Below are 22,160 nucleotides of genomic sequence, written 5' to 3'. Positions count from 1 at the left end.
ATTACCTAAAAACACAGTGTTTAATAAATGTTTTAGTTAATGATTGAATGGGGTTTTAGTAGAAGTTGTTAAAATTGTATTTGACTTTGTTATTTGTTTTTAAAAACAACAGCAACCACTCTCCATTCCTGGAGACTTTAAGGATGGAAATGATAGTAATCATTAGATAATAATGAACAGGATGGTAGTAAACAGTGATATGACTCATAAGGAGGCAATACAGGGTAGTTATAGTAGTAAATCATTAGAGGATATGTAGAAGGGAATGCTCAATCCTCAACAGCATCTTACACTTTATTTAATACATAGTAGAACATAATAAGTGGAGGGAGTATCTTATATTGACTATATTAGCTATCCCTCTTTTATTATTTATTTATTTAAATATTTTTATTTTATTTTATAGACAAGGTCTTGTTCTGTCGCCCAGGTTGGAGTGCAGTGGCACAATCATAGCTCACTGCAGCCTTGAGCTCATGGGCTCAATTGATCCTCCTGCCTCAGTCTCCTGGGTAGCTAGGACTGTAGGCATGTGCCACCACACCTGGCTAAACTTTTTTTTTTTTTTGGAGAGGCGAGGTCTTGCTATGTTGTACAAGCTGGCCTTGAACTCCTGGCCTTAAGGGATGCTCAGACCTCAGCCTCCCAAAGTGCTGGGATTATAGGTGTGAGCCATCATGCCCAGCCTGTATTAGTTTTTTATTGCTGTGTAACAAATTATCACATAGTGGCTTAACACACATTTATTATCTCAGTTTCCATTGGTCACAAGTGTGGGCATGGCTTAGCTGGGTCAGGGTTCCACAAAACTGCTGCAATCAGAGTGTTGGCCAGGTTGTGTTGTTATCTGGCACTTGGGGTCCGTTTGTGGTTGTAGGACTGAGGTTCTTCCTAATCCATCCAAGAGGCAGTCTTTTTTAAATTTTTTTGAAAACAGGGTCTCACTCCATTGCCCAGGCTAGAGTGCAGTGGTGCGGTCATGGGTCACTGCAGCCTTGGCCTCTCGGGCTCAGGTGATCCTCCCACCTCAGCCTCCTGGGTAGCTGGCACTACAGCCACACGCCACCACACCCAGCTAATTTTTAAACGTGGTTTTTTTTTTTTTGTAGAGGCAGGATCTTGCTATGTTGCCCAGGCTGGTCTCGAACTCCTGAGCTCAAGTAATCCACCCGCGTCAGCCTCCCAAAGTGCTGGGATTACAAGTGTGAGCCACCGTGCCTAGCCCTAAGGTGTACTCTTGGCTTCAAGAAGCTATTCACAGTTTCTTGCCATGTGGCCTTTTCACAAGCCCCCTCGTATCATGACAGTATACTTCCAGAGGCCAATAGGAAGCTCTCTAGCCCCAGTCAGCCAATACAGAGTCTTACACAACTTAATAAAATTGTGAGGAAAAAAATAAAATTAAAAAATCATGGGAATAACTTCCCATCATTTTTGCTATATAATATAACCTAATTAAGAGTGACTATCCCAGAACCCTTTCCATATTCTGTTGGCTAGAAGCAAATCACTGGTTCTGCCCTCACTTAAGGGGAGAGCATTACAAAGTTGTGACTCTCTGTATATCACCTTAGGGTGTGTCTGCCATACTCCTATTCCCTATGAAAAGAGATGATGATCTAAATGACCTACATAGATGGCTCTTCCAAAACTAAAACTATGCTTCAAATTATAGGACCTTAAATTAGAACTTTATAGTTTTCTTTTACATTAATAGTCTAATAAGTAGAAGTTATTTAGTAAATAAAAATTTAAATGTTCTACCTTATAGAAACGAAACAACCTATTTCTGCATTATTTTGTCTATTTCATTTGACTTCATATTTAAAAAGGTTAAGATCATTGAGTCAGAAAAGTGATTTGAGTGGGAAAAAGAAGGCAGTGACATTAATTTTATGATACTAAAATTTTTTCTTAAATTTGAGAAAGATTATGGAAGTAAAAGTTAAAATACAGTTTAAAATACTAACATAAGACTTTGCAGTCTCAATAGCAGGGTTTGGCTTTTTGAGAAGAAGGAAAATGTATGTTAGAGCCAAAAATATGACTCCTTTGGCTGTGACCAGGATTTCCTCTTCCCACCTTAGGGACTAGAAAGTAGAGGTAGGAAAATTTCATTTTGGAGCCAAGTGTGACTTGTTTAGTTCAAGTCATAATTTATTGCACATACCTGAGGGACCTGAAAATAAAGAAACCCACTATGAAATGTTGATAATGGGCTACTCTGAAGGTAAGCATTAAGCTAACTTTCCCAGTGAGGATTTTTTTCACTTCCACCTTTCCCAGATGCTTCTGATCATTCATAAGGATATACTTAATCGTATAATAGTTAAAAAGAAAACTTTCTGTGCACTAAACCAAAGCATTTGAGGGGCATGAGAATGAACCAAGGCTTTTATATGACTAGATGTCGATGGAAAAGTATAACTAAAATAAAAGTTGTTTTCTTTTTCATGTAATTAAATCACAGTATAACAAGGCTGCCTTTTTAATGGATATCTAAAGCAAATCCTCTGGCCAATTACTGTGATCTAACAACCACAGGAGTATTCAGCTTTATAATTGAGGCATCCACCTCTCCAATTGGTGACATGGACATAGTTTGTGAGATATGATAAGGTACAAATATATTTAGGTTTTAAAATTGCATTTTATTTGTATTGCCTAGCATAGTATAGTATAATAGTATATAGAAAAGTTCTCCTTCGTAGGTATTGTTCCTTTACTTCTCTGAAGAAAAATGTATAAAACCATGGCATATGGCTAAAAATGTTTATATTTTTAAAATGTTGAAGTGGTGTGTTTAGATTTTTATAATTGGTTTAATAAAATTTGATGGTACTTTTCATTGTCAGAAGTGCCCTTACAATGATTAAAATAATTTATCATGCTAATAAATTTTATATTTGTGGGTTTTTTTGGTAATATAGTATGTTGAGTTACCAAACTAGATTTTATTTGGAAACTATTTAAAATTCGCATAGTGATCTGAATTGTCTATCTTACTATTAGCATACAATAACCATTATGAGTTCCTTTTTTTGTTTAGGAAACTTATCTTAGCTCTCAATGTACCAAACTATTTGGGTATATATTATTTTAATCAATTTTTTAAAATTACATTTATGATTGAAAAATTCAGACATCTATTTTAGTTATATTAGTTACTTATCGACTTTATAACAAACACACACAAAAAAATTGATAGGCTTCCATGCATTGTTGGCATTTTATAAACCACAGAAAAAGGGTGCTTTCCCTAAAGGATAACAGCATTAATAAAGTAATAAAGCACATTAAACCATGTTAAACCAGTGCTTTCAACTGTCAAAATATTATCAGATGATGGTAGTATTGGAATTAAAAAAAAATTTTTTTTGAGACAGAGTCTCACTATATTGCCCAGGCTGGTCCTGGGCTCAAGTGATGATCCTCCTGCCTCAGCTCCCGAGCAGCTGGGATTACAGACTCGCGCCAATTGCACCTGGCTGTATTAGAATTCTTAAATCTAACAGATTTCTTTTTAAGGAGAATGATATTGTTCCATTGTTATTCCTTTTGCTTTGACGGCAATATGAATATTCACGAGAAAATGAATGAGGGCAGGAATGCAAAGGACTGTAGTATATCAAGAGGAACTTGACTTCAGAAACCTTTTAGGTAGATTCATCTGTTCCTTTTGAATAGATTTATAAATCCCTTTTGAATTACTCTTCTATCAAAACTATGTTAATGACGGCCGTGTGCAGTGGCTTATGCCTGTTATCCCAGCACTTTGGGAGCCCAAGGTGGGCAGATCATTTGAGGTCAGGAGTTCGAGACCAGCCTGGCCAACATGGTGAAACCCAGTCTCTACTAAAAACACAAAAAATTAGCCCCGGTGTGGTGGCACACGTCTGTAATTCCAGCTACTTGGGAGTCTGAGGCAGGAGAATCACTTGTACCTAAGGGGCAAAGGTTGCAGTGAGCTGAAATTGCGCCACTGCACTCCAGTCTGGGCGACAGAGCAAGACACTGTCTCAAAAAAAAAAAAATGTTAATGATATTGAATGTTTTGTCATGCACTTATTCATTCATTTAACAAACTTTTTTTAAGAGCTTAATTTGTACAAAATGCAGTAGGTGTAAAAATGAACAAGATGCTGTCTCTACACTAGTAATGTCAATAATTTATGGAAGAACAGGAACATATAACAAGATGCTTTGGTGGAATAGAAACCAGGTGCTCAGATGCTTAGGAAAGCTGAAGTTGACCAACACCTTTCGCCTCCCTTGCAGATACCAATTTACTTTGACTAACTTGCCTAAAAGGGATGGAGGAGCCAGAGAGATGAGATTTGAATCTTCTCTACAGTGAGATTCAAATATACAAACATTTCATAAAGTGGAATGGCCTCATCAGAGGTTAGATTACAACAAAACTATTCAGATTATAAAACTATTCAGAATAGGCCGGGTGCAGTGGCTCACACCTGTAATTCCATCACTTGGAGGCCGAGGTGGGTGGATCACTTGAGGTCAGGAGTTGGAGAACAACCTGGCCAACATAATGAAACTCTCTCTCTCTACTAAAAATACACAAATTAGCTGGGTGTGATGGCACAATCCCAGCTATTTGGGAGGCTGAGACACTAGACACTAGAGTTGCTTGAACTTGGGAGGGGGAGGTTGCAGTGAGCCGAGATTGCTCCACTGCACTCCAGCCTGGGTGACAGAGACTCTGTCTCAAAAAAAAAAAAAAAAAAAAAAGAAAGAAAGAAAGAAAGAAAAGAAAAAAAGCAACTATTCAGAATAATAAAGCAACCTTTTTTTTTTTTAATATCTGGCTAGAGCACCAAGTATTATAATAGACTCAGGGGACAGAGTGATACACAACACAGTTTATAGCCCCTTGTCTCATGTTGCTTATAGTCTAGCAAGGAATATTGACATTAATGTAATGAAGAAACAATCACAGTTGTGATAAAGGCTATAAGAAAAAGTCACAGGAACCCTGGGAATGTTATAGCAGGTCTTTGGGGATCAAGAAAGGCTTCCTGAGGAAGTGATATTTAACCTGACACTGGAAAGAAAACTAGGAGTTATGAATGTGTACAGAATGGATAAGAGTATTCTCAACAGAGAGAACAGCATGTGTTAAGGTTCTAAGGTTGAAAGAGGATAGCAGTTTCCAAGAACTGAAAGAAGCTGAAGTTGTGAGTCTGAGAGAATGGCATGTGAATAGAAGCTGGGAGAGGTATTTAGGAGCCAAATCACTTAGGACTCTGTATGCCATTTTCAGGATTTGGGACATTCTAAGTTATGGGAAACCAGATCCAGGAATACAGCCTGAGGTCAGAGTGGAGTGGACTTCTGGTTATAGTGTTGCATCTGATACAGAGACCCACCTGGATATAGCTCTGATAATAATACATGGTTACCCAGGGGAAATGGATGTGAATATAAACTTAAAGTGCTGTAATACTTAACTCTTTAACATTTACAAGTTCAGCAACTTGCTCTTGGAATTTTTGGAAATACTTAGGTTCCATCACAGATATAGAAGAAAAAACCTTGTCACCTCTAAAAGTCTAGAGTGAGTATATCCTCAATTACTTAAACCTTTTTTTTCCTCCTCAGAGTATTTTTTTCCCCAGCTTTTTTTTTTTTTTAAGATAGTTTGGCCAAAAGTATTTTGAAAGCAGTTTCTAAGTATATCTTGAAATTCCAAAATTAAAACCTAGTTTAAATCTAAGTAAGCTGTCTAGGTTAATAAATTGTATATTTACCTTGGCCAGCAAAAAATGAGTTAATGAAACCCCTCTGTTTCCATCCCTTCTGAAAAACAAATGAACAAACAAAAAAACACAAAACAAATGGATGAATTGCTGAGGTTAATTTTTAAATTCTCCATATTTTTAAAAGATATTTTGGGATCAAGGATGGAAATATTTAAAATCCCAAAATTTTAAGCAAGTTCGGTTGATAACCTTTTTCTCCTAATACTCATGTCATTGTATTTCCTTAGCAAAAAATAAATAAATAAATACATAAAGCCATGCCTGAAAATATTGCTGGAAGTTTCTCTGGATAATTAATAAATAAAAACTTTTGGTTTTGATTTTTGAACAATTCTGAAGTTATTTTCTTGTGTTCATCTTATTTTTGGTGAGAAAAGGAACTTTGACCTTTATATATTAATTTTGCTCTCAAACTAGGTTGGAGGATTTAAAAGTGAAATTATCACCCTGAGGACTTGTAAGGTTGATTGACACTTACCTACTTATGTTGGCATGGAGCATAATCAGCAGCTCTACCTTAAGGGCAGTGGTGGGATTGTTTTTTAGCTTCTCTGAAAATAACTAATTTTTTTCTTTTGAGGAGAATTTTAGTTGTGAATTTTAATCAGTTTATTCAGTCAAATTCTCTCAATGCCTACAGATTGTAGACATGTAGAGGGGCTTCAGGTGACTATGTCACTTTTTTTTCTAACTGTAAAGCTTTAAGGTCTCAAATAACATAAACTGTAGTAGATATTGCTGTTCCATGTTTACAACATCACTCTTTCCTGTTTTTCCCTAGGATTAAAGGCTTGAAAGCTTGGGAATGAGTTCAGTTTATACTTTGTAACTGTAGGACACATCACCCCAGTGCGTCAGTGACTATAGTAAGCTATACAAATAACTCAGTGTATTTTCCTACTGCATCAAGTATACCAGATTTGTGACTTGAAATTACTTTCAAGCTGTGTTTCTCAAACTTGGCACTATTGACATTTTGGACTGGGTAATTCTTTGTTCCGAGGAGTGTCCTGTGCATTCCAGGATGTTTAACAGCATCTCTAGCATTTACCCACTAGATGCCGGTAGTGGGATCTAGACACCCCCCACGGTCACCCTGCCACCAGTTGTGATAACCCAAAATATCTCTAGACATTGCCATTATCTTCTGGTTGGCAAAATTGCTCTCGGTTGAGCACCACTGTTTTACATAGTGAGGCATACAAATGTATACAATAAATTAAAATTAATAATCTGCATTTGTTTTTAAATTATGATTTATCAAGTTGAAAAACGTCCAATAAAGCACTTACCAAGAGTCTAATATACACTAAATACAGTAGATAGCTTTTTCTTATAACAGTCTTTTGGCCTGCACCCCACTTCTAGCCCCTGCTTCTGACAGGCAGTGACTTTCACTTCTTTAGCTATTTTATCTGGTATTTACCTCCATATTTTATCTTTATTTAATCAGTTTTAGACATGAACTATTAAATTCCTATTTGAGACAGGATTTTACCTCACTTACTCTGCTTTTTCCTTCTTATAGCCTCCCAAGATAGTTACATTACAATTTTTAATTAAATCTATAGTTATTATGTACATTATCATGACTATGAAAATACTGTTCACTGTAATCAAATGATTTCCTTTCTTTTTTGTTTGTTTGTTTGTTTTGTTTTGTTTTGTTTTTGAGACGGAGTTTGCTTTTGTTTCCCAGGCTGGAGTGCAATGGCGTGATCTTGGCTCACCACAACCTCCACCTCCCAGGCTCAAGCGATCCTCCTGCCTCAGCCTCCCGAGTAGCTGGGATTACAGGCATGCGCCACCACGCCCAGCTAATTTGTATTTTTAGTAGAGATGGGGTGTCTCTATGTTGGTCAGGCTGGTCTCGAACTCCCGACCTCAGAAGATCCGCCCGCCTCAGCCTCCCAAAGTGCTGGGGTTACAGCCGCCCGTCCTCCTTTCTGTTTTGAACTTTAGGGTTGATAGAACCCTCCTCTCTTCCACTTCCTTTTTCTCTTTTTAAAAGATCTTTATCTAAATAAATGTGTCACCTTCCAATAGTTGTGTGCCATGCCTCTCAATACAGTTTTTCTATCAGACCTGTCAGATAACAGGCCAGTTCCTTTTTTCTCCTGGAGATATCATTTCTGGAGCCTCCTGATCTTCTACTTCGGTCAGGGCTAAATTGCTCATCAAGCCCAGATAACTGCCAATATCCTGCTATCATCCAATAACTGCTATCATCCTAGGAATTTGATTTGTCTGTCTTCTGTGATGGATTGCCAGTTTCCTGGGTCTCAGATCTTCCTCTTGTTTCTTGCTTACTGTTTCATCTTTGCGGTACACATCCTCCCAACAGTTTCCTTATACCTCCATTTCCTGAGACTTTCTGAACTCCTGCAGGTCAAACTGGCTTATGTCCCAGCAGTAGCTCTGTGGATACGTTGGTTTGAACTTTCTCTTTTCTGCTTAGTCATTTAACATTTGTCCATCTACCTTTTATGTTCATATATTGGGGCTTGGAATCAGATGTCTCTTAGCTTTACTGAAGTTGGAGACTGTGTTTCTGTTTCCTATTTGTCTTTTAATTTAAAGGCAGTTTCTCTGACAGGTGAGGGAAAAAGAAATGTCTGGGGTTTTTTTTTTTTTTTTGACTTATTGAAATCAGAAGTCTGCATTACTTTCTAAGATAAAGCATGAGTTATCAAAGTGCTATGATTCCATATGTCTTATTCCAAAACTCACATTCACATTTGAAAAGCTCTGAATCAAATATTCTTGGCAATAATATTTCAAAGGTAGAAAGTGATCATATATTTTAAAAATCAAACCTTTGTGGCCAGGCGCGGTGGCTCACGCCTGTAATCCCAGCACTTTCAGAGGCTGAGGCGGGTGGATCACTTGAGGTCAGGAGTTTGAGACCAGCCTGACCAACATGGCGAAACCCCGTGTCTACTAAAAATACAAAAATTAGCCGGGCGTCATAGCACACACCTGTAATCCCAGCTACTGTGGAGGCTGAGGCACAAGAATTGCTTGAACTGAGGGAGCAGAGGTTGCAGTGGCCAAGATCATGCCACTGTACTCTAGCCTGGACAACACAGCAAGACTGTGTCTCAAAAAAAAAAAAAATCAAACCTTTGCTCATGTTTGAAAGATTATATATATATATATAGAGAGAGAGAGAGAGAGAGACAGACAGACAGACAGACAGAGTCTCTGTTGCCCACAATGAAATGCAGTGGTGAGATCATGGCTCACTGCAGCCTCAAACTCCTGGGCTCAAATGATCCTCCTGCCTTAGCCTCCTAAGTAGCTGGGACTACAGACTCCTACCACCATGCCCAGCTAATTTTTATTTTGTAGAGACAGGGTCTTGCTATGTTGCCCTGGCTGGTCCTAAACTCCTGGCCTCAAGTGATCCTCCTGCCTCATCCTCCCAAAGTGCTGGGATTATAAACGTGAGCCACCACACCTGGCCCTGAAATATAATTTGGATGTAATAATAAAAATCTAGATAGCAAAAGTGTTATACTTCATCTTTTGGACTGTGGTGGTAATAAAGTTTTAAGTGTATTTTCAGCATTTTCCAGTACTCATTTAATCTTTTTTCTTATGTACATGCTCGCTCTTGCTTAGGTTTGTTTTTAGATGTTAGGGTTTAATCATATGAAAGCTGAGTCTGAGCCTCCTCTCACTGGGATTAACTTTTACTTTTTATGCTACTATTGCCAGGAACCTTTATATAATTCCCTGAGTGCCATTATGCGTCATATTACATCTTCTGGCATCCAAAAGCCTCTTCCATGAGCAATCTTGCCTTTTTCCAGTGTTATATAAGGTAGAAGTAGGTCTCTGTCACCTGCTGAATGCACCATTACTGAGTCCCCTTATTAAATCCTCTTAATATTGACTCATTCCTTTAAGAACCTCTGATTCTATTTACTGCTTTCTTACATAAGATAATATTTTATTTTGTTAGTTGTTATTGCTAGCAAAAGTTTATTCACAGTTATCGGGCTCTCATATGTGACTTTAACAAGAAAAACTCTAGATTGTAAGATATTTGAATAAAATAATATTTAGACTAATATGGTACCAATCATGCACTCATTCTCATAGATTACACCACTAGCATATTTTATATAGTTATGCTTTCAAAAACACTTCATAAGTTGAAAAGTGACCAAAAAGTATTATGGAGGATATTAAAGAGTGCTAATGTTAGCTAAAATTTCTTAGAAAATTTAAGATCAATTGTAGAAGTTATTTTTTAAAATATTTGTTTCAAAACTGTTTGAACACTGTTCTGTATGTATTCTGCCAATGTATATATTTTCATTGACACTTGATGAAAAAGTAGCCACTCCAAGAACCCAAGAAACTTACTTTTTAAGTCACCTAAAGTTATGTGCCAAACATTGAATAATGTAGTCAGAGCTCTTTCAGAAGGAATCGGTCCAGGTGGTAAAATGATTTGGGGTGAACTGACTAAGGTAATGACTATATGGCCTCCACAGCCTTATGGCTTATTTCACATACCATGCAGCAATATATTACGACAGCATTTAAAGTCCACTGAAACCTACACTGGGTTTCAGAAATATGGGGTAAGTAATGACTTTCTCGTCCACTTACCTCTAGTATCTGATGCTTTACTGTTTCATGCATATTGTCATTTATTTCTTCAACCAATTCTCTAAGGTAAGGTTGGCACACAGTCTCCAACTTCAATAAAGCTAAGAGACTTCTAATTCTAAGCCCCTTCTTACAGACGAAGAAATTGAGAAAGGAAATTATAAAGGGCTACTGTGACTTGTCCAAGGTCAAACAACCTAAGTCTCAAGGCCTTGATTCCAAGCCGTGTGCTTTTTCTTTTTTTCCATTATACCTTCTTCCTCAAAATAAACTATAACACGAATGGTGGCATGTTCTAGAGATGATAATTTAAACATTTGCAGGTTTGTTTGAGTAATATTTTAACATGGATAACCTACCTAAATTGACACAAAGGTCATTACTCTTAAAAAGAATTTTTTAGGCCAGGCATGGTGGATAACACCTTAATCCCACAGCTTTGGGAGGCCAAGACAGGAGGATTGTTTGAGGCCAGGAGTTCAAGACCAGCCTGGGCAATGTAGTGAGACTGCGTCTCTAAAATAATTTTTTTTTTTAATTAGCCTGGTGTTGGGGCACGTATCTGTAAGTCCTAGCTACTGAGGAGGCTGAAGCAGAATGATTGCTTGAACCCAGGAGTTGGAGGTTGCAGTGACCTATGACCATGCCACTGCACTCCATTCTGGGTGACAGAGCAAGACCTTGTCTCTAAAAAATAAAAATGAAAACTTTAACTTAGCCCTTTACAGAATAAGCATGCTAAGATTTCTTGCATGTCTTAGAGTATTAACTTTTTAATAGGAAAAACTGGTTATATTTTTATAACCAGTTGAGGCTGAATATGTTGAGAAGAGGAGATACCTGATTTCAGAGGGATATATTTTGTTCTATTTCTTAAATTTGAAATATCCAGGTTATTTTAGTCAACACTGACAATTAGCGATACTAAGTTTAATATAGATTTCTCTACCAAAAAAAGCACCTTATCCAAAACAGTCTTAAAGCATATGTGAAATATATTGCTGTTACTATGTCTTGATAGATTATTGTGGTCAAGTTGTAACGTAACAGGGAAAGTAAGTAACAACTAAAAACCATTTCTAATGTGCTTTTATCATTATTATTCTTATTTAAAAGGGAGCCTGGCTTCTTAACTCTTGGCAGAAACTAACTCATTTTCCCCATTTAAAAAAAGTGTATATACACACACACACACACACACACACTATTTGGTTAACTGTGTCAGAAATCTTGAAAATATGCCAGATGAAATAAAACCAGCTATATTCTTTTTAATCTAGCTAAATTATATCACATACAAGATCTTATGCTGAGTTTATAATTCTAACCATTGGAATTTATATTGTGATACCCTGATAGAAGTGTTTACACTATGATGATACGGAGCAGCAAATGTCTCTAATGCACAGTCTCTGTCTTCCAGATTTGGTTTGCTGTAAATGTTTAGGCTTTAGGCCCTGCACCTTGGCTAAAGATAAAACTGTTCTACTCAAGTGTTTGCTAGACAAATGTGTTTATTTTTCTGAAGCAGAGTTTTCTTAATATTTTTATAATTATGTAGTTTAGCTGATTATTTGTCCTTAGTCTCATTTGGAGGCTTGAACTTTTGTCTTCAAGCTTACATACAAGAAAAAAATTATATTCTTCTATTGATTGCTTTCAGGAAGGCATTTATTACTGAAATCATAATATGTATTGGTATGAGTTGGGATAAAATCCACCATCTTTCATGTGAAGCAGCAGTAAAATGAAGAGATGCATTTATAGTTCTAGCTCATATTTATCACACCATTTATTTTTTCAGAAGCTACTGATAAACTTTAAAAAGGCTACTTTTGTGCAAAGAGTTTGACTGAAAGTTGAAAAAGTCTAATGTTAATAATTGTGACCTTAATTTCTCGTTGACATATGCAGTATAATCCTTTTGATTATTTCATATTGTCTATTGCTGCTATAAGTGCTCTGCTACTTATACTGTTTCCAATAAAACCAAGGCATGGAGAACTTAAGAAACTTTCTGTTCAATCTCAAGTACATTATGATATAATGGTAAAAATCAGAATCCAAAATCATATAACTTCTGCTTGAATGCCATCTGTCTATTGGGTATTTTTACCCAATTCTAAACCGCCTCAGTCTTAATTATCAATGCCTTTGATATTGAGGATCTTATTTCTACTTATGTCAGTTAGGTTAGATTTTGATGCAGATATATATTTATTTGTCTAAAAACTATCATAGTAAGGGAGCTTTACATTTGGTACAAACTTGACCTTCAATTATGAAATGATAAATTTTTGTGAATCTATGCAGCATCTGAACCAATGGGTTGCAAACTCAAGCAGCTACATGAATTAAACAGGTTATTTAAATGAGTGGGTTAGTTGAGGACAGTGGTGAGATAGCCAAAGTTTTAGATGGTAGCAAATAAATTTTAATTATTTTAAGCCACAGTAAGGGCCACACAAAACACAACTATGGGCCTTCAGTTTGCAACTGTTAATAAAATAGTTTGTCTTTTTCCTGCTCTTCACACCCCTCCAAAATTACACATACACTAATTTATTGGGGATGGGAAGCAAGTAGTTTAACTGTTTCCAAAAAGTACAATTAAGTATAGCTTTCTATTTTGGGAAAGGCTTGTAAAATGTATTTGAAAAGTAATGTTAACTGATCTAAAAGATCATCTTCCCAAACCACACTTGAGCTCAGTTTATGGTGCTTACTTTCTGTCAAAACTTAGAAAAAACATTCACAGTTAACTTCCATAATGTAAAATGTCTGTCTCATTAGGCATTAAGGAAGCATTGGTCAACAGGTATAATGTTGTTAGATTATAAGGTAATGTGAATGTGGGCATGACCTCCCAAATAGATCAAAGACTAATCTCTTTGACAGTTACAAGATGGCAGAGCTTGCCTTGGGCCTTTTGCTGGTGGTGCACATTGAAACTATTTGTTTGGAAAGCATGCCTGAGAGATAAGAATGTGTTTATAAGGATGAGCAGGTAAAAGTAAAAGGTTGTCTTTTGACATTTCAACTAATCCCTTCCAGCCTTTGGTTTACTTAACATTTAGGCTATTTGCTGGCAGGAGAAACTGGCTTTTTCACATATGCTGTATGTCATTTTAAATTGGTCATTGATTTTCATGCTTGATAATCCCTAAGTGTACAATGAAATAGATTCTGATGTCATTAAAATGAGGTGTACTCACTTTCCACCTTTTCTTAACCCTTAGTTTTGCTTTTTCCAATTAACTGTGATCTCACAAAGTAATTTTTATTATTGATTAATTTTAAAAATCTGTTTATGTAATAAGAACTATTTCAAAGTTAACCTTTATATACAGTTCATTTCAGGGTTTTGTTTTTTGTTTGGGAGTTTTTTGTTCTTTTGTAGGTTTTTAAACTTTTTATCTAAAATAAATTCCCCTGGGTAAAATATTGGCAGTATTTTAAAGGCCATTTGGAGTGTAAAAGGTGTTTGAAAATTTGCAATAAATTAAAACAATGTAGCCATACAGAAAATTTTAATTATGTTAATGAAAAATAGAAGACCAAGGAGTCATAATTTTATTTAATCTAATAGTTGCTACATTCACTCTAAATATTCCATTTATAACTAATACGTCCTAGAGCAACTGTTGTCTTCGGAACAGTGACCACTATAATGTATCAGTCTGTCCATGGTGTAGGAAATTTTGAAAACACATAAGCTATTATGTCTGACAAAGTAGATGTCAACTTTCTTTGAGGAAAATATTGTTAAAGAAGAGAAGCTGCTTTAGTTACATTTTTGAGAGATAGGTAGGAAATACATATATTTTTCCCAGCTGGACAGAATTTTAAAAGTACTTTTTCTTATAGTCTTAATTATCATGTGCTTTATTGCTGAATTTCCAGGGAGGGTATTAACATATCATCTAATATTTACTATGGTGTTATGTTATCATTTACTACTTATGTTGCCCTAAAAAGCAAAGTTGGGCTGGGGGCAGTGGCTCCATGCCTGTAATCTCAGCCCTTTGGGAAGCCGAGGCAGAGGGATCACCAGGTCTGGAGATCAAGATCACCTGGCTAACACAGTGAAACCCCCCTCTCTACTAAAAATACAAAAGAATAGCTGGGCATGGTGGCATGCACCTGTAGTCCCAGCTACTCAGGAGGCTGAGGCAGGAGAATCACTTGAACCCAAGAGGCAGAAGTTGCAGTGAGCCGAGATCATGCCACCGTACTCCAGCCTGGGTGATTGAGCAAGACTCCGTCTCAAAAAAAAAGAAAAAAAAAAAAAGCAAAGTTGGCTAGGCGTGGTGGCTCACACCTGTAATCCCAGCACTTTGGGAGGTTGAGGTGGGCAGATCACCTGAGATCAGGAGTTCGAGACCAGCCTAGCCAACATGGTGAAACCCTGTTTTTACTAAAAAACAAACAAACAAACAAAAAATATATATATACACAAAAAATTAGCTGGGCATGGTGGCGTGCACCTGTAATCCCAGCTACGTGGGAGGCTGAAGCAGGAGAATCACTTCAACCCAGGAGGTGGAGGTTGCAGTGAGCTGAGATCGCACCACTGCACTTCAGCCTGGGTGACTGAGCGGTACTCTGTCCAAAAAAAAAAAAAAAAAAAAAAAAGGCAAAGTCTATGTCCTTTATATGTCCTTTATATTCTAGTTGTAAAGTTTCATTTTAGAAATTTGACAGATTCTTTTGAGGGAATGTAAAATAAAAAGGGTGGGGTTTTGGGTTTTTAGATTTTGGCCAGGCACAGTGGCTCACGCCCGTAATCCCAGCACTTTGGGAGGCCGAGGCGGGTGGATCACGAGGTCAAGAGATCGAGACCATCCTGGTCAACATGGTGAAACCTTGTCTCTACTAAAAATACAAAAAATTAGCTGGGCGTGGTGGCACACGCCTGTAGTCTCAGCTACTCGGGAGGCTGAGGCAGGAGAATCTCTTGAACTTGGGAGGCAGAGGTTGCAGTGAGCCAAGATCGCGCCACTGCACTCCGGCCTGGTGACAGAGCAAGACTCCGTGTTAAAAAAAAAAAAAAAAAAAAAGCTTAGATTTTATTTTTACAGTAAGATAAAATTTTTTGACCTCCCAATTTGAAAGCTGCTTTTCAGAAGTGTACTGTTCTGTTTTCTTTCCTAAAGCATGTTCTTTTATTTAAAAAGGTTAATAGTGGCTGGGCACAGTGGCTCACGCCTGTAATCCCAGCATTTTGGGAGGCCAATGCAGGTGGATCACCTGAGGTCAGGCGTTTGAGACCAGCCTGACCAACAATGTGAAATCCCAACTCTACTAAAAATACAAAAATTAGCTAGGCATGGTGGCGGCCGCCTGTAGTCCCAGCTACTTGGGAGGCTGAGAGGAGAACTGCTTGAACCTGGGAGGCGGAGGTTGCAGTGAGCCAAGATCATGTCACTGCACTCCAGCCTGGGCAATGGAGCGAGACTCTGTCTCAAAAAAAAAAGAAAAAGTTAACAGTGTTATAGAGTACACGGAAAATACTTTGTTTTTTCTTGAGTAGGTTTACAATTTAGTAAAGTATTATTAAGTAAAATAGAGGTCACTTGAACCTAAGCACTGCAATACCATGACACTCGATTAGACCTAGACAGCTACTAAGTAACTACTAACTGCTGGTGGGTAGTATGTACAGCATGGATATACTGGACAAAGGGATGATTCACATCTGAGTGGGATGGAGCAGGATATAGCATGAGATGTCATCATGCTACTCAGAACAGTGGGCAATTTAAAACATAAATTATTTCTGGAATTTTTTATTTAATATTTTTGGACCACAGTTGACCGCAGTTAACTTAAACCACTGCAGATAAGAGGGAACTGCTGTATAAGTTTTGTTAATATATCTTGAAAGCCTAAAATGTTTCCAAGAAGTTTACTCTTTATTTTATTTTTTAGTTGACAGATAATTATTGTACATATTCATAGGGTACATAGTGATGTTTTGATACATATGATGTTTATTGATTAGATCAGGGTAATTAGCGTATCTGTCATCTCAAACATTTATCATTTCTTTGTGTATGGAACATGTAATCTCCTCCTTCTAGTTATTTGAAATGATGTAATATTGTTAACTATAGTCATCCTACTGTGGTATAAAAGATTAGAACTTATTCCTTCTATCTAGCTGTAACTTTATATCCTTTAACAAATCTCAGCCAGACGCAGTGGCTCATGCCTGTATTCCTAGCACTTTGGGAGGTCAAGGTGGGAGGTTTTCTTGAGCTTATGAGTTGGAGACCATCATAGGCAACATAGCAAGAATCCATCTCTATAAAAATTAAAAAAGAAAAAAATTGGCCAGGCATGGCAGCACACACCTGTAGTCCAACCTACTTGGGAGGCTGAGGTGGGAGAATCACTTGAGCCCAGGAGGTCAAGGCTGAAGTAAGCCATGATCGCACCACTGCCGTCCAGTCTGGGGGACAGACTGAGGCCCTGTCTCTCAAAAAAACAAGACAAAAAACAAATATCTCCCCATCCCTCCCTTCCTTCTCCCCTTCCCATCTGCTAGTATCCTCTGTTCTACTTTTTATTTTTATGAGATTAACCTTTTTTTTTTTTTCCGAGACAGAGTCTCACTCTGTCACCCAGGCTGGAGTGCAGTGGTGCGATCTTGGCTCACTGCAACCTCCGCCTCCTGGGTTCATGCCATTCTTCTGCCTCAGCCTCCCGAGTAGCTGGGACTACAGGCGCCTGCCACCACACCTGGCTAATTTTTTTGTATTTTTAGTAAAGACGGGATTTCACCGTGTTAGCCAGGATGGTCTTGATCTCCTGACCTTGTGATCCACCCGCCTCAGCTTCCCAAAGTGCTGGGATTACAGGCCTGAGCCACCGTGCCTGGCCGAGATTAACATTTTTAAGCTTCCACATATGAGCAAGAACATGTGGTGTTTAACTTTATGTTTTTTATTTATTTCACTTAAGGTAGTGTCCTCAGTTCCATCCATGTTGCCGTGAATAACAGGATTTCATTCATTTTTATGACTGTTTAGTATTCCATTGTGTATATATACCACATTTTCTTTATCCACTTATCTGTTGTTGGATACCTAGGTTGATTCCATATCTTGGTTATTGAGAATAGTGCTGCAATAAACATGGGGGGGGGGCAATGTCTCTTCAATATAATGATTTCCTTCAAGAAAGTAACTCCACATATCTTTATTTAGGCTTCTACTACAAAAATACACAACTGGCCCTCTGTATTTATGGGTTCTGCATCTGTGGATTCACCTAAGTGTGAATCAAAAATATTTGAAAAAAAATTGCTTCTGTACTGAACATGTACAGATTTTTTTCTTGTCATTATTCCCTAAACACTACAATGTAACAACTATTTGCATAGCTTTACATCATATTAGCTATTAAAGTAATCCAGAGATTATTTAAAGTATAAAGGAGGATATGCATAGGTTATGCAAATACTAAGTCATTTTGTATCAAGTACTTGAGCATCCATGGATTTTGGTATCTGAGGGAAGTTCTGAAACCAGTCACCCATGGATACCAAGGGACAACTGTACCATTTGATATACTTGTCCTGGAATACTACAATTGCACCAGATTATTACCTGGAGACAATTACTAGGCCACAGTTCAGGGAGAATAAACTCAAACAGAGCTCAGTGGTCACACTGAGTTAAAGAGATAAAGTTTAGGGAAAGTCCGTGGCAGCTAGAATTTGCAAGGTAGAGTACTAGAGAGGATGGAGCTACATAGAGAGAAAGCTCCAGGTATCTGCATAGGCGTCCCCTTAAGTTTTTGGTCAAGTACTGATTGGCATATACATGAGAGGAAGCTACATAAGGCCAGGGAAATGAGTAGGCAGAAAACTTCCTAGTGCTTACAAAGTCTGGGAATAGTTTGAGTTCCCAGCAGCCAGAAGAGAAAAACTTCATAACACATGGGGTACTTGAAACAATCATCAGTAGAGTTTCACCTTTGTATGGGGGATAAATTAGCCCTAGACTAAAGGCTGCTCTTGACTTTCCCTAACAAAGCTGCCAAAGAATGAACTGGTTCCAAGTACCCTAATTGCATTCACAGCAAAATCCAGTAACCACTGACTTAATGCCCACAATGTCTAGTATCCAATCAAAAATTAGCAGGCATGCAAAGAAGAGAATTTAACCCATAATACAGAGGAAAATCAATCAATAGAAACAAAACCAGAAATGACAGAGATGTTAGAACTGGCTAGCAGACAAGGATTTTTAAAATATCTTATGTTTTATGCTCTGTAAGTTCAAAGAAGATAGCAGAAAACATAAGCATACTGAAAAGAGAAACAGAAGCTATTTTTTAAATACCTATGTGAAATCTCTCTATATGAAACAAAAAATACACTGGATGGATTAGACACTGCAGAAGGAAAATTTGGTGAACTTGAAATCTTATAAATAAAAATTATCCAAAATGAAGTGTAGAGTGAAAAAAAAGAGGGTCAGTGACATGTGGAGTAATATAAAGTAGTCTAATATAGTTGTAATTGGAGTCTAAGAAGAAGAGTTTCGAGGCAGAATAATATATATATTTAGAGAAATAATGGCTGAAAATTTTTCAAGTTTGATAGAAACTATAAGCCCACAGGTCCAAGAAGCTTAATAAAAACGCAAGCAAAATACACACAACAGCACACTGTAATCCAATCCAAAGTCGCTAAAAGAAAGGGGAACATTACAGAGATAGGACAATAGCATATTTTTTCTTCAGAACTATGCAAATCAGAAAACAATGAAAAGCCGTCTTTAACAAAAGAAAAAACCTGTCAATTTAGAATTCTTGATCAAGTGGGACAATCTCTTAAAAATGAAGATAGTGAAGTCTTTTCAGAAAAAGAAAAGTTGAAAGAACTCATTGCTAGCAAACGTGCACTACTAATATTAAAGAAAGTTCTTCAGGTAGAAGGAAAATGATACCAGATGGAAATTTAAATCTACGTGAGAAAATGAAGAGTGCCAGAAATGGTAAATCTGTGGGTAAATACGGTATATTTTAAAAGATAATCTTTTGGGACAAAACAGAAATCTGAATAAAATACATAGATTATTTAATACTAATGTACTAATGTTAATTTCTTAATTTGACATGAGCTATAGTAATATAAGATGTTAACATTAGGGGAAATTGGGTAAAGGGTATAAGGAATCTCTGTACTATCTTTGGAACTTTTCTGTAAATCTAAACTTATTTCAAAATTATAAACTTATTTAAAATTAAAAGATAATGTACTGTTTAAAGCATAATCAAAATGTTTTATGGGTTTATAGCATGTATAAAACTAAAATGTATGGCAGCAATAGCATAAAGGACAATAAAAGGAAATGGAAGTATATTGTGGTATTGTTTTTACATCATATGTGAAGTGGTAAAATATTATTTTAAGGTAGACTAATAAGGATGTATATCATAAACCCTAGAGGAGTCACACACACACAAAGACATAGCTAATAATCCAGTAGTGGAAATAATATGGAAGCATATTATTTCCAGTAGTGGAAATAATATGGGGGGAGGGGGGAACTTGATTGATCCAAAAGATAAAAACAAAATGGTACAGATTGGGGGGGTAGGGGGGAAGCAAGGTGGTAGTCTTAAACCCAATCATAACAATAACTACATTAAATGTAAATGGTCTAAACATTGCAATTAAAAAGCAGAGATTACCAGACTGGATAAACGTAAAAGAATGAACTACTCATAAACCTTTCAACATGAATGAATTCTAAAAGTATATTAAATGAAAAATGTCACAAGTCATTACATAGTATATGATAATATTTATATGAAATTCTATAAAGGGCAAAACAGAAAGCAGATCAGTGGTTGCCAGGGCCAGCAGTGGAAGAAAGAAATTTACTATAAAGGGATAAGAGGGAACTTTTGGGGGTGATGAAAATGTTCTATATTATGATGGTGGTTACATTACTATATATGTCAAAACTCACCTACTTGTACACTGAAAATTGTGTGGATTTAATGAATGTAAGTTCAATAAAACTGCTTGAGATCACACAGCTGATTAGTTATATGCATTAGGTAATTTAAGGAATGTGAAGCTAAATAAAACTATTTTAAATGAAACGAAAAAAATCAGTACTGAAAAACAAAATAAAATCTCTACCCTAAAAATATGTATATTCAAACTGTTAGAAGTTAATATGATGTTTAAAATGAGCTTTAATTATCTACTAATTTTTTAAATATATTTTAAAATTATTAGGTTGAACTAAAACGACAATACAATGACCACCATTCAAAATTGAGAGGTCTTCTACCTGGCCGTCAGTGGTATGAAATTCAAGCATACAGGGCCTTAAACCAGGCCCTTGGTAGGTAAGTGGAGTGAAATTTAATATAATATTATCTGTGACAGGGCTATATATATAAATCTAGTCTTGCTACTTTACTCTTTATAATAAACTTGGTAAAATTTTATTTAACTGGAACCATAGGAACTGGTATGTATTCAATGATAGCTGTCACAAGTAGAATTTGAAAAGAGTAAGAAGAATAAGTTATTCCCAAAACAAAACTCACAATTTGCTAAAGTTTAAAGAAATTTTGTGATTGATCTAACAATGAATAGCACACAAAGATGCTCAGTAAATATTAAAGAAAGCTTATCAAATCAAAAAAGTTTTGTCTTGTGAACATCAAAGCTCAGATAACAATTTTATAGATAAACAGACCTCTCTCCTCACCTCCCCCAAAATGTCAGGGAAGAAAATTGATATACCAGCCAGTGTGAGGAGATATTCTATTTGAAAGTGTACTTTCAGTACGGAATCTGTGTATCTGTTAAAATATCATCAAATAGAAACAAAATCTATTTTACTGCCCAGTGAGCTTCTGTAGTTGCACAATTTTTCATTCTGCTTCTATGTAAAGAAGACATCTGACAGAAAAAAAAATCATTTTCATTTTAATGTTATTTGTAAGCTTTAGATAACAATGTGATTACAATCTATATTTTCTTGTGCCTTTTATGTATAGTGATAATGTTGAAGGATAACATTGAAACTGAAGGATATTTAATAATTAAAGAAAAAATAAAATAATTAATTATTATTATTATTATTATTGTTTTAGACAGCCTCACTGTGTTGCCCAGGCTGGAGTGCAGTGGCGTGATATCGGCTCACTGCATCCTCCACCGCCCAGGTTCAAGCAATTCTCCTGCCTCAGCCTCCTGAGTAGCTGGGATTACAGGCGTGCGCCACCATGCCCAGCTAATTTTTGTATTTTTAGTAGAGATGGGGTTTCACTATGTTGGCCAGGCTGGTCTGGAACTCCTGGCCTCAAGTGATCCACTCACGTCAGCTTCCCAAAGTGCTGGGATTACAGATGTGAGCTACTCGGGAGGCTGAGGTAGGAGGATCGCTTGAGCCTGGGAGGTGGGGGTTGCAGTGAGCCAAAATCATGCCACTGCATTCCAGCCTGGGCAACAGAGCCAGACCATGTCTCAAAAAAAAAAAAAAAAAAATTAGCAAATCATTGAAGAAGGGTTAAAACAAACTATAATCGTGATCCTAAAGAATTAACACCAACTAAACATTTAATCATGATACTCCGACTTCTAAATATTCTTGCCCATTAAGATTTGTGCTTTGTGAGACTCATTTTTAAATCATTATTTTATACAGTCATGCATCACTTAATAACGGATATATTCTGAGAAGTGAGTTGTTAGGCAATTGTATTGTTGTGGGAACA

General features: G+C 36.7%; 1 protein-coding gene across 21 annotated transcripts in view; it reads left to right on the top strand.

Annotated features, from left to right (window-relative positions):
• Nucleotides 1-22,160, top strand: part of BRIP1 (BRCA1 interacting DNA helicase 1) — a 184,390-nt gene that overhangs the window by 126,798 nt on the left and 35,432 nt on the right. For 13 of the 21 annotated variants that reach the window (XM_047436893.1, XM_047436891.1, XM_011525333.4 and 10 more), the window contains one exon: nt 20,668-20,780. In XM_047436893.1, coding sequence (XP_047292849.1) covers nt 20,668-20,780 — 113 coding nt within the window. Of the gene's footprint in view, nt 1-20,667; nt 20,781-22,160 lie in introns of those variants that run through there. The other 8 variants (XM_047436903.1, XM_047436895.1, XM_011525339.4 and 5 more) reach the window with 2 other exon arrangements.

The sequence above is a fragment of the Homo sapiens genome, chromosome 17 (genome assembly GCF_000001405.40).
Source record: "Homo sapiens chromosome 17, GRCh38.p14 Primary Assembly".
In the NCBI taxonomy this organism is placed as follows: Eukaryota; Metazoa; Chordata; class Mammalia; order Primates; family Hominidae; genus Homo; species Homo sapiens.
The sequence above is the reverse complement of the archived record's forward strand: the minus strand, read 5'-3'. Positions and strand labels throughout refer to the sequence as shown.